At 46.6% G+C, this 15,823-nt stretch overlaps 1 protein-coding gene across 1 annotated transcript, besides 2 other annotated features; it reads right to left on the reverse strand.

Moving 5' to 3' along the window:
- Positions 256-756: an enhancer, noted in NCBI's record as "H3K4me1 hESC enhancer chr18:12225566-12226066 (GRCh37/hg19 assembly coordinates)". NCBI's record gives its function as "activates a minimal SCP1, AML or CMV promoter by ChIP-STARR-seq in naive H9 embryonic stem cells {active_cell/tissue: H9 hESC(naive)}" and the evidence as "EXISTENCE:reporter gene assay evidence [ECO:0000049][PMID:30033119]".
- LOC124904253 (uncharacterized) lies at positions 3,553-5,851 on the reverse strand. The gene has a single exon (XM_047437982.1). It carries the CDS (start codon positions 5,668-5,670, stop codon positions 4,651-4,653), a length of 1,020 nt encoding a protein of 339 aa, XP_047293938.1. The 5' UTR covers positions 5,671-5,851; the 3' UTR covers positions 3,553-4,650.
- Positions 11,984-12,063: a silencer, noted in NCBI's record as "silent region_9306". NCBI's record gives its function as "represses an Ori minimal core promoter by ATAC-STARR-seq in GM12878 lymphoblastoid cells {active_cell/tissue: GM12878}" and the evidence as "EXISTENCE:reporter gene assay evidence [ECO:0000049][PMID:35858748]".

Here is a 15,823-nt window from a genome sequence, read left to right on the forward strand (position 1 = left end):
GTTCTGATTTCTTTCTTCTCTGTTAGATGGATATTAAGCTTATTTTTTAAAATTCCCACCACTAATGACTTTCCAGTAATCATCAATATACATAGATCCCCCCAATGTTTTTGGTTTTTTTTTGTTTTTATGTAGTATACGATTCTCAAAATTGTATAATTGAGTTATGACAAATTTAATTATAATTTAAAAAATACTGACATTATTCTTCACAAAGTTAATCAGATCACACTCTTACCAATTACATAAGTAGGCCTCTTCCTATCTAGGCTCAATAGCACTAAAAGTTTTTTAATAAAAATACTAATTTGGTTTGTGAAAAATCCCATAGGTGCTTTAATTAATCAACTAGTTCTATTTCAGTGAGTTGCCTATTCAGTGTGTGTGTGTGTGTGTGTGTGTGTGTGTGTGTGTGTGTGTGTTTATGGCTGAGCCGGCCCTGCCTGGGCCACAGCTACCCTAAACAGAGACGAAGGACTGTAGGTCAGAATCACAGCCCCCCTGAGGAGAGAGGTGTGTGAAGCAGAGTGGGGTGAGGTTCCCCCTCCCCTATGCAGGGGGTGAGCAGGATGAGGACAGGAGCCCAGGGAGTGGTGCAGACACAACTCCCACTTCCTGACACTGCTTTGGAGCTTGGGCTCCTTCAAAGCCGCCTTACAGATCCTAAAACCTTCATGGGGGCACAGCCACTGCATGCAAATAAGAGCTGTTACCTGTCTGTCCCTGGGCCTCCCTCTCCTGGGTTCTCACAGCTGACCCAGTGGGTGGAGGGGGGTCCTTGCTGTCAGCGTTGCAAGCCAAACCTATCCAGTGGGCACCCTGATGGCTGAACTCCCCTGGAGGCCCTGGGGGGTTTCCCAGCTGGGAAGGGCCATCTCAGGAGTGTCCCCACTGTCTCCCACTGCCCTCAGACCCCAAAGCCTTCCTGCCTCCCTGACACACCTGGGCATCTCAGTGTGAGGCCCGCAGTTTTCTAAAGCTGTTCATGGTGTGAGAGAGGGGCCAGGGCATCTGGGAACTGTAAACAAGGGTGCTGTCAGTGGAGGGAGGTCTCTCTTCCCGAAAGGAGCCGCAGCCACCTGCTTTCCAGCTGTACCAGCAGGGCATGTGTGCTATTTCCTCTCTGTCGGTGTTTCCTGGGAACTCTGCCTCCCGGGTTCAAGCGACTCTTCTGCTTCAGCCTCACCAGTAGCTGGGACTACAGGCATGCACTGCCACATCTGGCTAATTTTTGTACTTTTAGTAAAGACATAGAGACAGGTTTCACTATGTGGGCCAGGCTGGTCTCAAACTACTGACCTCAAGTGATCCTCCCACCTTGGCCTCCAAAAGTGTCAAGTTCCTAATTTCAATAACTAATCTCACAGATTGCTCTCACATAATGCTGTTTGCTGCATCTCCCAATTTTCAATTTGCGCAATTTTTATTATTTATTAGTAAGTGTTATCTAATTTCATTGTGATTCTTACAGAGATTTGAGTTTAAAACTATGCTCTACATTTTCTCATATTGCAGCCAATGCTCCTGTGCATGAGTCTTCATATTTTGCAAGTCTACTTTGGGATAGATTTTGAGATGTTGGACGATGGGTCAAAGTGTTAGTGCTTATGCAGCTTTGCTAGATGTTGCCAAACTCCTCTCCACAGGTGCTGAGTCAGCTTTCTTCACAACAATGTGGGCACAACCACACTAACGTAGTTACATGTGAAACTTCTGAAATTTTGTCTTGAAGTGGTTTCTCAGTGTAGTTTTAATGTGAACTTTTTCACATTTTGAATGAGATTAAAAGCCATTTGTTCTTTTGTTTCTCTTTGAACTGTTTATGTCTCTGACATGCTTACATGGGCTTGTTGGTACTCTTTTCTTCCCTGTTTTTAGAGACTTATTATATATTGAGTATATTAAAACCTTTGTGTTAGGCACAGAGTTTACTCACACCACACTCTCATCAGCCTCTCTTTTATCTATTTTTTTCCTTTATAACTATTTCAGATCATGTTTCCGTCCATCCCTGAGTCACCAACCCAAGTGTAAATAATGTGGACCACTCTTCCAAATAATCTCTACAGATACTTAAAGAATTCATAGAGTGTGTTTGCATTTTTGCATTAAATTATTTTCCCCCTTTAGGCCTCATCGGTTTTTTATTTTTTCTGAGATTTAAGCTCATACATTTAATTTTATCCATGTGTGCCTGTGAGCCTCTTCCGTGACTTCCAACTGGTCAGCATTGCGTCAACCACACTTTCCTTATAAACCCCCTTGTGCCGAGCAGCCAGGTTGCTACTGATACCAGCTCCCTCCTACAGTGAGGACGCCTCCTGCATCTTTCCTGCCTCTGAACGACAGAGGGCTTGGTGCTTGGAGAGTGCACACTTAATGTTCCTGTGTGCTGAGGAAATCCCTCAGGATGGTTGACCTCCTAAATACTCCCAGTTGTGAGAGTTTGACTCCCCATAACCTAACTAGCAATTTATTTTGATTCTTTTAAATTGCAACATTAGTTGTCTGCTCAGCACTCACTGGTTTCATGCCTGACTGAGAAATAAGTGTGCAGTTCTGGAGTGTCCACGAGAACCCACGGGTTTCGCTTGCCCGGGCTGTGCTGGCGGGCGGACCTCCATCCCTCTCCCTGCTTCCAGCCCAAGGGGCTCTGGCTGCTCCCGCCACTCCCATCGCGCTCCGCCCCAAGCCCCATCGCGCTCCGCCCCAAGCCCCATCGCGCTCCGCCCCAAGCCCCATCGCGCTCCGCCCCAAGCCCCTTTGCTTTCCCTTTGCCCTTCGTGGAGGGAGCCTCCCACAGAGACGTGCTGGGCTTCTCCACAGCCACTGCTTTTGCCTCAGGTGGATCTGAACCTATGTTCATATGACTTTTATTCATCCACATTTGCCTTCTGTAATTGCTTTGTTGTAATATTTGTCCATTTTTAATTAGGTTTCCATTTTATTTGTCTTTTCTATTTTTTTTCAGAATTCTCGGTAGTCCTTGCAAATATCTTTCCATTGTTTGATACCCTGTGCAATTTTACCTATTAAATCCTTCTTTGAACAAAACACCTTAAATAATAGTCGTGCAGGAACTCACAAGGTTATGTGGTTTCTCAGACAGAATAACACACCATGTACTCACTTTCGTCTGTCAAATTCACAGAAACCTCAGCAAGTTTGGCATAGTAAAGCATATGAAAGTGCACTCAATCACACATGATCTGAAGAATGCATATTCAAACTAGAGTTTCTCACTTCTACACCCACCAAAATAGACACGTTATCACAGAGAAAAATGCAGAGGGTTGGTGAGATTGTGGAGGAACTGGAGCTATCACATGTGACTCTGGGAACATACTTAATTTCATCCACTTTGATAAATGACTTTCTAGGGTGTACTAGAGTAATCGGTACCTGTGACCCTACAGTCCCACTCCTGCTACCTATGTCCAAAATACATGTATGAGGCAAAGATGTTGGCGTCCCCCTGGGGGGCTTTATAGCAGCGTCACTTCATGTAACTGTAGCAGGACAAGCCGCAGACAAAACCCCTCAGACACCGAATTAAAGCAGGAACGGCTTTATTCAGCTGGGAGCTTCGGCAAGACTCACGTCTCCAACAACTGAGCTCCCCGAGTGAGCAATTCCTGTCCCTTTTAAGGGCTCACAACTCTAAAAGTGTCTGCGTAAGAAGGTCATGATCGATTGAGCAAGCAGGGGGTACGTGACTGGGGGCTGCATGCACCGGTAATTAGAATGGAACAGAACAGGACAGGGATTTTCACAGTGCTTTTCTATACAATCTCTGTAATCTATAGATAACATAACCGATTAGGTCAGGGGTCAACCTTTAACTACCAGGCCCAGGGTGTGGTGCTGGGCTGTCTGCTTGTGGATTTCATTTCTGCCTTTTAGTTTTTACTTCTTCTTTCTTTGGAGGCAGAAATTGGGCATAAGACAATATAAGGGGAGGTCTCCTCCCTTATAACCATCATGATAAACAGAGTGAATGTAAAACATAGAGGGTGAAAACTCATTGTGCCAACTTCCTACAATGTAGATGTTATATATGGACAGGACCGAGCAGTACAAAATGCTGAATGTGTCATCACAATGGAACATAGGTGAAATTTACATGATATTCACGTGTAATTTTCATTCAGGCACAAAAGAGTACATACTGTAGGTTTCCATTTATACAGTGTTTAAAAATAAATTTAAAATATGTTGATCATGACCAGAATAGTGAGTGTCTCTTGGAAGTTACTGCCTAGGAATTAGCCAAAGAGCGGCTGCCAGGGTGTTCATATCTGGGCGGTGGTAACACAGTGTTTGTCAGAAGGCAACAATCTGTACAGGTAATATACTGTGCACTGCACCACAAGTAAAGCAACCATCAAATAAAAACAAAGTAACGCAAACTATTTTTCCATACGCAAACTTCCATCCTTACTGTCCCCTCTGAGTCCATCACATATTTTAAATAGAAGTAACTCCAATCTTGCATGCACACTTCTGGATATAGAGGGAACACACAATGCTCTCTTTTAATCGGGACAATCATGACAGCAAATTCAGCAAAAGACATCACAAGAAAGGTGAATTAAAAGCCAAATTCGGCTGGTGTGTGGGCTCCTGGGGACAGTGGGGTGTCCCCTCCCCTCACTCCAGCTGCCCTGATTTTCCAGCACAGGATTTGCTGGCCATGCCCTTCACTCTGTTTACACATCGCCCCCAGATGTGAACCCCTCTAGGACCTGGATGTGACTCAGTGTTCAGCACCCCTAGGGTCTCACAGAGCACTGGATACTTATGCCTGTGCCCAGGAAGTACGTACTGGATGAAAGATAACACTAGGCCATTGATGGCTACACTGGAAGGAAAACCCAGAGGCGGGGAGGTGACGTCTCCCTCATCTCTGAATCCCAGTTCTGGACTCCCTGGTGCCACAGTCATTAACCAGGTGCATCTGTATTTTAAATTAATTTTCAAATGTAATCTCCAGTACCTCATCACATCAGGCATATTTCCAGTGCCCGATAGCCCTGCGCTCACAAGGCAGAGGAAACATTCCCGTCTGTGCAGAACAGGCTCGTGGCAGTGGCTCCAACCTGGGACAGTGCCTGTTTGTGAATCACTGACCTGTAGGGTTGGAGCCCCACATTGATAAGGCTGGTGGGGAGAGCTGCAATGATCCGGAAGAGAGGGGAGTGGCACGTGGAAAGGGGGTCCTCTCTTGACGTGAACATTTGCAAATGTGAGCAGTGACTTGTTGAAGGTCTCTGATTCCAGAGAGCCCAGGTTAGTTCTGAGAAAGCAGAGGACGGAGCAGGGAGTTGCTGTGGCAGCTGGTGTGGCCTCCGGTGCAGCAGGGAGGATGGGCGAGTGCCTCTGGGTAACACCTTTCTTGTGGTACTTGTGTCTCCAGAGCTTGGATTGGCAACAGGAGACAAGACTCCAGCAGTGACGATGATGACGCTCCAGGTAGATGGGCACCCTGGAGAGGGGACGCCATGAAAGTGGCTTCCCGGGAGCAGTCCACTCAAGCCTGCCGCTTTGGAGACCAGGGAAGGAAGAGGGAGATGAAATTAGAAAAAAAAGAAAATGTGTTATGTTTAAATGTTCATGATGGTAAAAAAAGTGATGATGTCTAGGGCCTTTGAGTGTTGTGTTTGTCATCATCTTTTCTTGCTTTGCTTCTCAAACATTATCTTTCCCTCAGGACCTGCTCTTTTCTGCCTCTTCCACACCAAATCCCAAATACTTGGGTTCTATTGGTTATCGTCTCTTGAGAATTGGCTTGGTTTCTCCTGACTGCTTAGAGTAAAATGCAACAAGAGACTGGGTTTTGGAGCTGCAGGATGTCTGTGGGCGCAGCTCTCCCCAGGGCACTTGACACTGGGAGTCAGGTGGGGGTGGGGACTGGGCCCCTCCTGTCTGCACTCTCAGGTGGGGGTTGGGGGTGGGCCCCTCCTGTCTGCACTCTCAGGTAGGGGTGGGGACTGGGCCCCTCCTGTCTGCACTCTCAGGTGTTGTTGCAGCAACTTAGTGCTTCTGCCCCCTCTGCTGACTCCTGCTTTGAAGGCACTCCCGTGGCTGTGGAACTTCCAGAATCAGCCTCGGTGTGATGCAGTTGTAGCAAACTCAGCCCCTTCTATGCTGAGCTCTGGAGCTGGGAGGGCACCTCAGAGTCCTGAACTGGGTGAGGGCCCTCCCACAGGGCCGCCCTCACCTCTCAGGGTCACCCCGGGGCCATCCAGGGCGGGGCTTTCAGACAGAGGAGTTTCCTTCAGGGGTCTCAGGCACCGGGTCATGGATGGAGTTGTGGCACATCAGCCACCGCAGGCTCCTGGGACCCGGGACTGGAGGAGCCTTCCCCAGCTGATCTTGCTCTGCAGAGCCCGGCCCACGGTACCCACTGGAGTCCCAGAGGCACAGGGTGCTGCCCCCAGTCCTGAGGGTCTTTCCTGTTCCTTGTGAGTGGTGGCGCTGGTCAGCACGTGGGTCAGCGTGGAGGATGCAGGAAGAAGAGCAGCACCACGCAGGTGGAACCAGGAGGGGCTGCTCCGTGAAAAGGGGGAAGGCTTTATATGGCCACGTGGCCAAAGAATCTGTATGAATGCCCAAAAGGCATATAAAATGTATGGAGCATTATGAATCCAAAATGGAACATTGCATCACAATGCTATCTCTTTACACAAACATAATAATGCCCACAGTGAACAGAGTGGGAAGAATTGATGAGGACACAGGCCACAATTTGAGGCAGGAGGGAGTTAAACCCAAAGTGCACGCTACCAGCAGCTCCTTAGAGGCCCATGTAGCCCCTCGGGAGGACTGCAGAGTCCAGGGGCAGGAGGCGGCACCCCCGCCCTTCCTCACAGCTCTCTGGAAGACCCTGTGGTTCGAGGTCACTTTCCTGAGGGCTCACCACATCGCCCGTGTACATATAACTAGGCAGGAGTATTGCCCATTAGGAGGCTACTTTGGTGCTGCAGCTTGGATTTTGGGCCAAGAGCTCAAGCACTTGCTGGCCTCACCCGCCCCAGCTGCTCCAGCCTCCCGGCCTCCAAACCTGCAGTTTCCTATGCCCGATGCCCCAGCCCCTGCACCAGCTGGACTCACCCTCACTCCGTATAGTTTTTATTTCCATATTCTTGTACAGTCTCCACTATTTTAACATTTCACATTCGTGTTGTACATTTGATAAAACTGTAGAAACCAATATTGATAAATATTGATACGTTATTAATCCAATGTCAGGGACCCACCATTATGCACCAAGTAGATTCACTGCCCTAAAACTCCTGCTTGGCCTCCTTCCCACGCCTGGACTTTGGTAACCACCGATCTTTTTACTGTTGTTATAATTCTAGCTTTTCTAGAATGCCATATTGCTGGAATTATACAGCCTTTTCCTATTGACTTTTTTTCACTTAGAAATGTGCATTTAGGCTAGGCTCATGCCTGTAATCCCAGCACTTTGGGAGGCCGAGATGGGCAGATCACGAGGTCAGAAGTTCCAGACCAGCCTTTTCAACATGATGAAACCCCATCTGTACTAAAAATGCAAAAATTAGCTCGGCGTGATGGCACGCACCTGTAATCCCAGCTACTTGGGAGGCTGAGGAGGAGAATTGCTTGAACTTGGATTAAATATATATACTCAGATTAAATGCATATAATTTAATTTAATTTAATATAATTAAATATAATTTAATCTGAGTCACAGCACCAAAAAAAAAAAACAAAAAAACAGAAATATGCATTTAAGTTGTCTCCATTCTGTTTTGTGGCCTGACAGCTCATTTATTTGAATCACTAGCGATACCTCATTGCATGGATGTACCACATTTGGTTTATCATCCACTGAACTGCCTTTTGGTTGCTCTCAGGTCTTAGCAATCATGAACGAAGCTGCTATAAGCGTCTGCGCACAGGCTTTGTGTGGACACACGTTTTCAACCCATGTGGGTGAGCACCTGATGTGACTGTGGGATGGGTGTAAAGCACATGTATAGCTGGGCGGGGACCTGCCATCTGTCTTCCAAAGGGGCTGACACCATCTGCATCCCCACCAGCCATGAACGAGTTACTCTGTGGCTAGTTTAGCTCAATTACTAGTTTCATTCATGTGTTCAACAGGGTTTCTCTATGCTGGCAGGTTAAAACTCAGACATCCTACACAATTTTAATAACATTCTTAAGGTCAAGTCTAGTTACTTACTTGAACTTTCTTATCAGTTGAATCCACCACACGCCTGCTATTTTCTCTGACCTGACAGTGGCTGTCTGATGGTGCAAACTTTGTATTCAGGAAATTCCCAAAGTGAGTCAGCAACAGCAGACCTTGTCACAATAACCTAAAACCCTCCCCTCGAGACCCCGGCCCCATTCCATGCTTGGTATATCATCAGCTATCTGATGTCTGTAAAAGATGACCATGTAGGCCAGGCACGATGGCTCATGCCTGTAATTCTAGCACTTTGGGAGGCCGAGGTGGGCGGATCACGATGTCAGGAGTTCAAGACCAGCCTGGCCAACATGGTGAAACCCTGTCTCTACTAAAAATACAAAAAGTTAGCCAGACGTGGCCTGTAACCTCAGCTACTTGGGAGGCTGAGGCAGGAGAATCACTTGAACCCAGGAGGCAGAAGTTGCAGTGAGCTGAGATCACACCATTGCACTCCAGCCTGGGCAACAGAGCAACAATTCGTCTTGAAAAAAAAAAGACTATGAAATTATAATTTTTAATAATTCATTTATGTTATAATTCTCAGCAGGGGAAGTGTTCTACCACCCATAACTGAAGATTCTGGACATTATTATAAAGGTCTGTTTTAGATCTGGGTAAAAATTTGGTCCACTTTTCTGCTGTTTTGTCTCTGGGGCAAGAAACATAAAGACCCCGAAGTCTATCCCATTCCTCTCGATAGGCTCAGGCTGAGGAACAAATTCAGGACCTTCATTCATTAGAAGCCACCCCTGTAACCCCTCCTACCTTCCTTAGTCGAGGGCAGATGGCTGAGGTGGAGGAAAGCTCCCTCAGCCTCCTTGGGCTACTCCAGTTTGCATTTGGGCCCCAGAGGAGTCTCTTCTGTGATGGGGCATGAGCCCAGTCTCCCCACAATGATCCCCTGAGCAGAATATTTCCTGAAAACAGGCTTCCAGTGAGAAGGGCCAGGCTGTTCCAGCCATGAGGAAAATGCCCTGCGGGGGACTCGAACATCCAAACAGCCAGGAGGGTCAAGGAGATGGACTCTGCTTTCCGCAAAGCTCCTGCACACTTCCGCGTCAAGGGCTTCTGTGATACTCAACACAATCCCATCTCCACATGGTCAGTGACAACCCCAACCAGGCAAGCTGTCCACCAGCACAAGAGGGAGTCTGCCCGCCCCCGATCAGCTCAGCTGGTCCACACTCCCAAAAACCCATATTCAGGGGTGGGGGGCAATTGTCCCCACTGGCACCACCTGCAAATGCAAGTAACGCAGTGTCCTGCAGTGCGGACACCAATCAGGCTTTACTGAGGACATTTTCAAGAGTGGGCTCGGCTCAGCGTGGCTCACGGTTCTTCTGCCTCTCGTGAGCCTCAGGGCAGCTGGGTGGATGTGGGCTTGTGCTCCAGGATCAGCACCCTCCAGATTCTCTGCTTTTTAATAAATGCAGTGGTAAGAGGCCGTGCAAGGAGGAGTGATGGGAGGAAGAAGCTCTAGCCGCTCAGGGGAGGTGCAAGGCCAAGACTGGAGTCAGTCTTACCGCTCTCGCTTGACCAGATTCTGAGCAGAATTGTGGGGGGCTGGTGTGGTAAGAATTCCTCCTTTCGTCAGCATGATCAGTGTCCTGAGACCTCGGCTGCAGCCTCCAGAGTGAGCCCCTTGTGGCTGTCACAACTTTCTAAGTGGAAGAACTTTTCATCTGTCCTCTTATGTTCAGTGCCTGGGGCCCTGCAAATTAAACTTTAAAAAGACAGATAAACAGGAAAAAGGCAAACAATTTTAAAAAAATTAATGTGGCTGAGTGGTGCGGTGGCTCACACCCTTAATCCCAGCACTTTGGGAGGCTGAGGCAGGTGGATTGCTTGAGGTAAAGAGTTCAAGACCAGCCTGGGCAACATAGCAAGACCCCGTCTTTACAAAACTTAATGAATTAAATAATTTAAATTGTTTAAATAAATGTTCTATGTGGATGAAAATTTACAGAAAACAAGTGAAACTCAAAGGAATGGTTAGACTCAGGGGCTTACCTGCCATTTTAACAGAGAAAAGGGGGTTTGGGCTTCATGGACGGCAAATCATGGAGAGGTGGCTGGGAACATATGGGGGACGCTAACAGAAGGTGAGGGTGAGTTTAGCAAGGTTTGTTCACGCTCACTCCCTCTCCAGTGAGAAGAGTCACTCTCCCCTCCTGGCGTGGAGAGGGGGAACCTTCACAGGGGAGTTTATGCCCTGCTTTCACATGGGAAAGGGGAGGGCAGACAGCTCGTCCTGCATATGCCCATTCTCAGTTTCCTCAGCTCAAAATAATCCTTATGCCAAAGTGGCACATTTGGGGGTGCATATTCAGGACCCTTTCAATATGTAAAGCACTTAGCACCACTGCTGGCCATATTGAGCGCTCATATTAAACATTTCTTATTACTTTTATATTTACCATAGTTAGGTTCTGAGCTGGGTGTAACATCATTCCTGTCCTCAAGAAGTTAACAGTTTGAAGCAAACGGAGAGACGCATGAACACAGACAGGTACACAAGGTCATCAGTGGTGAGTGCTGTGGAAACGCAGCCGAGGGCAGGGCACGCAGAAGGAGCAGTGCGTGATGTTGGCGTGGGGGTTCCAGGAGGTTCTGCAGGAGGGCCCCTCTTGAGCTGGGTCTTGGAAGAGGAGTGGGTTTTAGGTGGAGGAAGAGAAGAACTCTAAGCAGTAGAAACCACAGGAACGAGGACACGGAGTCCTCATGAACATGTGCAGCGAATTCAGGATCAGCGAGGGGCCCGTGTGGCCGGCGGGAGGGGGTGGCGTGGGCGGCAGGCAAGTGGGTCCAGGGGAATGGCCACAGTCACAGCAGCTGGCACCTGGCGGAGGCTCACCCTGGGCTGGCACACCGGGCTGGAAGGTCTTGGAGCTGCACGAGCCGTGCTAAAAACTCTGTGATTCATCTCGTAGCCAATGAGGGGCTATCGGACACATCTGAGCAGACTGCTGTTTGGGAAAGGACAGGCACACGCAGGCTCTTGGTAAATGCGCGGTGAATTAAATTGAACTGGATCATGGTATAAAGAGTCTATCTGGTGGCAAGTCCCATGTAAGGGGTTATAAAATAGAAGTCCTAGCAATGAAATAGGCCAAATGCAGTTGATAAGTGGAAGTAATGAGTGGGCCCAAGATCCCATAGCTCATTTTAGAATGAGTGAAAAATATAAGGCACAGTAGAGCAGCAGTTTCTACCACGGGCCACTGACTCACAGAGCTTGTGAATGACATGTGTGAAGCACCTAAGTGTCGTTTCTTATTCCTGAGGGAGTGAGGTGAAGATTCGCCCTGGCCTATGACAAAAAAGGGTCCTTCTGAGGCTGGGGGGATGTGCAGGCCCATCCTATCTCAGGAGTGGGGAATCTGGAAGCCATGTTCATAGCCTCCCTAGCTAAGTAGCTGCGAGTTCAGCTGAGCTGAGCTTCACGCTCTCCCCTGGGCTTGTAGGGCATTGTTCAGGGACACAGGAAGCCGCACCTGCGCTGGGGCGTACGCAGGGCAGGCAAAAATGACATAACTGTTACCATGGGCTCTGAAAGCCCTACGCTTGGGCTGCACTGGCCACAGCTCACCTCCTCTAGAGCTTCATAGAACGCACACGCTTGCAAACCCACAGGCGCGCTGATAAACCTCAGGGCTTCCCCCAGGGTCTCACCAATCCTCTATTGACAGCTGTGGCTGGAGAACCTCCACGCAAGCCAGAATGTGGGAAGATGGCCCGGTGGGTGGAGTGGGGGTGAGGACAGCAGGGGAGCCAGTCCAGGGGTGCTTTGTCTCAGCGGGAACTGTGCGGAGTTTGTCAGTGCCCGGTAACTGTCGTGTCGCCTGCCCCCTGGTGGCCGCGGGCGCACACCGCTCTCCCCAGGCCTTCCTGCACCGCCTCCTGATAGAGATGGGGCCATCTGGGGAGCAAACCGTGCCGGGAGCCAGTGTTGCCTGCAGAAACCACTGGGCACGAGAGCCTCCTCCCTGGACAGTGCAGAGGGTCTTGCCCCTGGAAACGCACAGGAGACGACCTTTGCTGTCTTTTGGCTTGAAATAACCTCCGGCTGTATTTCTACATTGGCTCCAAAGACACACGTTTCAGCCTCTGGAAAAGCAGGAGCGTTTGCTTACCCAGGGTCACTGTCGGATTCAGTGCTGGTCATGGGTGTCGTCCTCTGTTCCTGTGCTGGCCTCTGAACAATGCAGAAAAGGAAGGAAAAAGTGACCAGACAGTCAATCTTTGCTGCCCTAGTTTTTCATTTTTAAAAATTATGATGCCATATTTGCACACCCACGTTCATAGCAGCACTATTCACAGTAGTCAAGAGGTGGAAGCAGCCTAGATACCCATCGATGGGTGGATGCATGATCACCACGTACTGCATGCATGCAACGGAATATTATTCAACCGTCAAAAGGAAGGAAATCCTGAGACAAGCTGCATCATGGATGAAACTTAAAGACATCGTGCTAAGTGAAATGAGCCAGACACAGAAGAACAAATACTGTGTGATTCTACTTACATGAGGTACCCAGAGTGGTCCAATTCAAAGAGACAAAATACAAGCATGGTGGCCAGGGCCTGGGAAGGGGGTGGTGGAAGTTGCTGTTTAATGGGTGCAGAGTTTCAGTTTGGGATAATGAAAAAGTTCTAGATATCTGTTACATAGCAGTATGAATACACTTAACGCTACTGACCTGCACACTTAAAAATGGCTAAGATGGTAAAGTTTATGTGTTTTTTTACCACAATTAAACATTTTAAAAATTATTTTTTAAATATGATAACTATTGACTATTCTCTTTTTGCAGCATTATTTATTTTATATTTTACATTCTTTTGTGCTGAGGTGTAGTTTATATACAATAAGTTACACAGTTCTTCTGTGTTCAGTTTGATGAGCTTTGACTACACCAAACAAGATATGAAGAACATTTCCATCACTCAGAAAGTTCCCTCGTGTCTCCACCCCATCAGCCCCCTTCCCCAACCAGATAATTGCTTTCTGACTCTGTCACTAGACATTATTTTTCTCTTTGAGGTTAAAAATTATATTCAGTGAAATGCACAGTTCCAGGCATACAATTTGTGAGTTTGACAAATGTCTGTACCCACGTAACCAACACTGTAATCTAGATGCAGACATTCCCTATAGCTCCAGAAAGTCCTTTCTGTCCCTTCCTGCCTGTGACATCCTCTACCAAGGTCATCAGTGATCAATGTCCTAAAAACACAGCAAAGTTCTGGGGACACAGAAAGAGCAGTCTCCCCCGATAGGTCATTCTACGTGTTCTTGAACTTCACAGAAATGGAGTCGTGCAATCTGAGCTCTTTTATGCCTGGCCCTCCCACTCAGCATGTTTTTGGACTCACCCGTGCTGCTGTGTAGATCAGCAGCTTGTTCCTTTTTCTTGTCGAGTAGTATTCTGTTGCATAAATACACCAGCAACTGCTTATCTATTCTGTTAGTGAACATTAGTTAGGGCTGTTTCAGGTTTTGGTTGCTGTGAATAAGGCTGCTATGAATATTCTTGTGCAAGTCTTTTTGTCAACAAATGTTTTGTTTTTCTTGGGTGAAACACTGGGAGAAGTGGAGCTGCTAGGTAATAGGATAAATGTGCACTTTACTTTTCAAAAACTGCCAGAGTTTTCCACAATGACTCAACCATTTTGCACTCCTACCAGTCTTTTTCACATGACTTACACACAGTAAAGTTCATTCTTTTTAATGTATATTTCTGCACATTTTGACAAATGCATACAGTTATGTAACTACTGCCACCCTCGGGATATATGACAAGCCCATCGCCTCCAAAATTCCCATGTGTCCCCATCATAGGCTCCCTCCCCACAACTCTGCCTCCTGGTCACCCTGATCTGCTCCTATATTTTTGCCTTTTCCAGAATGCCACATAAATGGAATGATGCAGTGCATGGTCATTTGAATCTGGCTTCTCTCTTCGCATAATGCATTTGGGGTTCATGCGTGTTGTTGGAGGTGTCAGTAGCTCGTTCCTGTTTACCGCTGGGTAGTGTCCATTTACGAACACACCAGCTTGTTCATCCCTGGCTGGGGCACGTACATCCATGCAGTTCAGTGGCATTCACACTGAATTCCATTCCCATTGCTGTGCAATCATCACCACCACCCACTTCCAGGACTTTTTCATCATTCCAAACAGAAACTCTGTACCCATTCAACAATGGTGCCCTACTTCTGCCCCCACCCCAGCCTCTGGGAACCTCTATTCAATTCTGTCTCTATGAATTTGACTACTCTAGGTACCTCATGTAAGTGGAATCATACAATATTTGTCCTTTTGTGATAGACTTATTTTATTTAGCATAATGTCCCCGAGGTTTAATCACGTTTTAGCATGTATCAAAATCTCATTCCTTTTTAAGGCTGAATAGCATTCCATTGTCTGGCAATGCCACATTTTGTTTGTCCATTCATCTGTGGATGGCCATTTGTGTCATTTTCACCTTTTGACTATTGTGAATAATGCTGCAATGAACGAGTGTTCATTTGAGTCTCCGCTTTCAGTTCTTTTGGATATATACCTGAAAGTGACATTGCTGAATCATATGTCAATTCTGTTTAACTTTTTAAAGAAAAACTAAAGTGTTATCTTTTTTTCTTGCAGTGGCTGCACCATTTTACATTCCCATCAGCAATGCACGATGGGCTCCAATTCCTCCGCATATTCACCAGCATTTGTTACTTCCCTTTTTGTTGAAAATTGCCATCCTAATGGGTATGAAGCGGTACGTCATTGTGGACTTGATTTGCATTTCCCTATTAATTAGTGATGTTGAGCATCTTTTCATGTGCTTATTGGACATTTGCATATCTTCTTTGGAAAATTATCTGTTCAAGTTCTTTGCCCACTTTCGAACTGGGTTGTTGAGTTGTAGGAGTTCTTTATATATTCTGGATATTAAGCCCTTATTAGATATATGATTTGCAAATATTTCTCCCATTCTGTGAGTTATCTTTTCACTTTCTTTATAGTAAGAATTTAATGAGCTTTTTATGCAATTGTAAATGGTATTTAAAATTTTCCATTTCTAATTATTCATTGCTAGTATATAGAAAAATCATTGATATTTGTATATTGACCTTATACTTAGTGACTCTTCTGAATTCACTTGTTAGCTCTAGTAGCTCTTTGCATTTTCTACATTAAAAAATTATGTCATTGCAAGAAGATAATGTTTTATTTCTTCCCTTGCAATCTGTGTGCTTTCTTTCTTTTTCTTGCCTATTGCACTGGCTAGAGACTCCAGTATGATGTTAAACAGGGGTGGGGAGGGAGGGCATCCTTGCCTTGTTCTCAATCTTAGGGGGAAAGCATTCAATCTTTCACTATAATGTTAGTTATAAGATTATTTAAAAATTGAGATATAATTCACATATGATAAAAGTCACAATTTTAAAGTTTAAAATCATTGTTGTTCAGTTTATTCCCAAGGTTATCCAATCGTCATCACTACCTAATCCAAAACATTTTCTTTTTTTTTTTCTTGAGACAGAGTATTTTAGAGTGCAGATCTCCCCACGGCACTCCAGTCACCCAGGCTCACTGCAGCCTC

Source organism: Homo sapiens, chromosome 18 (assembly GCF_000001405.40).
Source record: "Homo sapiens chromosome 18, GRCh38.p14 Primary Assembly".
NCBI classification, from domain to species: domain Eukaryota; kingdom Metazoa; phylum Chordata; class Mammalia; order Primates; family Hominidae; genus Homo; species Homo sapiens.

What these genes read in the sequence shown, in the direction of transcription:
- LOC124904253 (XM_047437982.1), bottom strand. Translation starts at nt 5,670, where the DNA reads ATGATGACAAACACAACACTCAAAGGCCCTAGACATCATCACTTTTTT.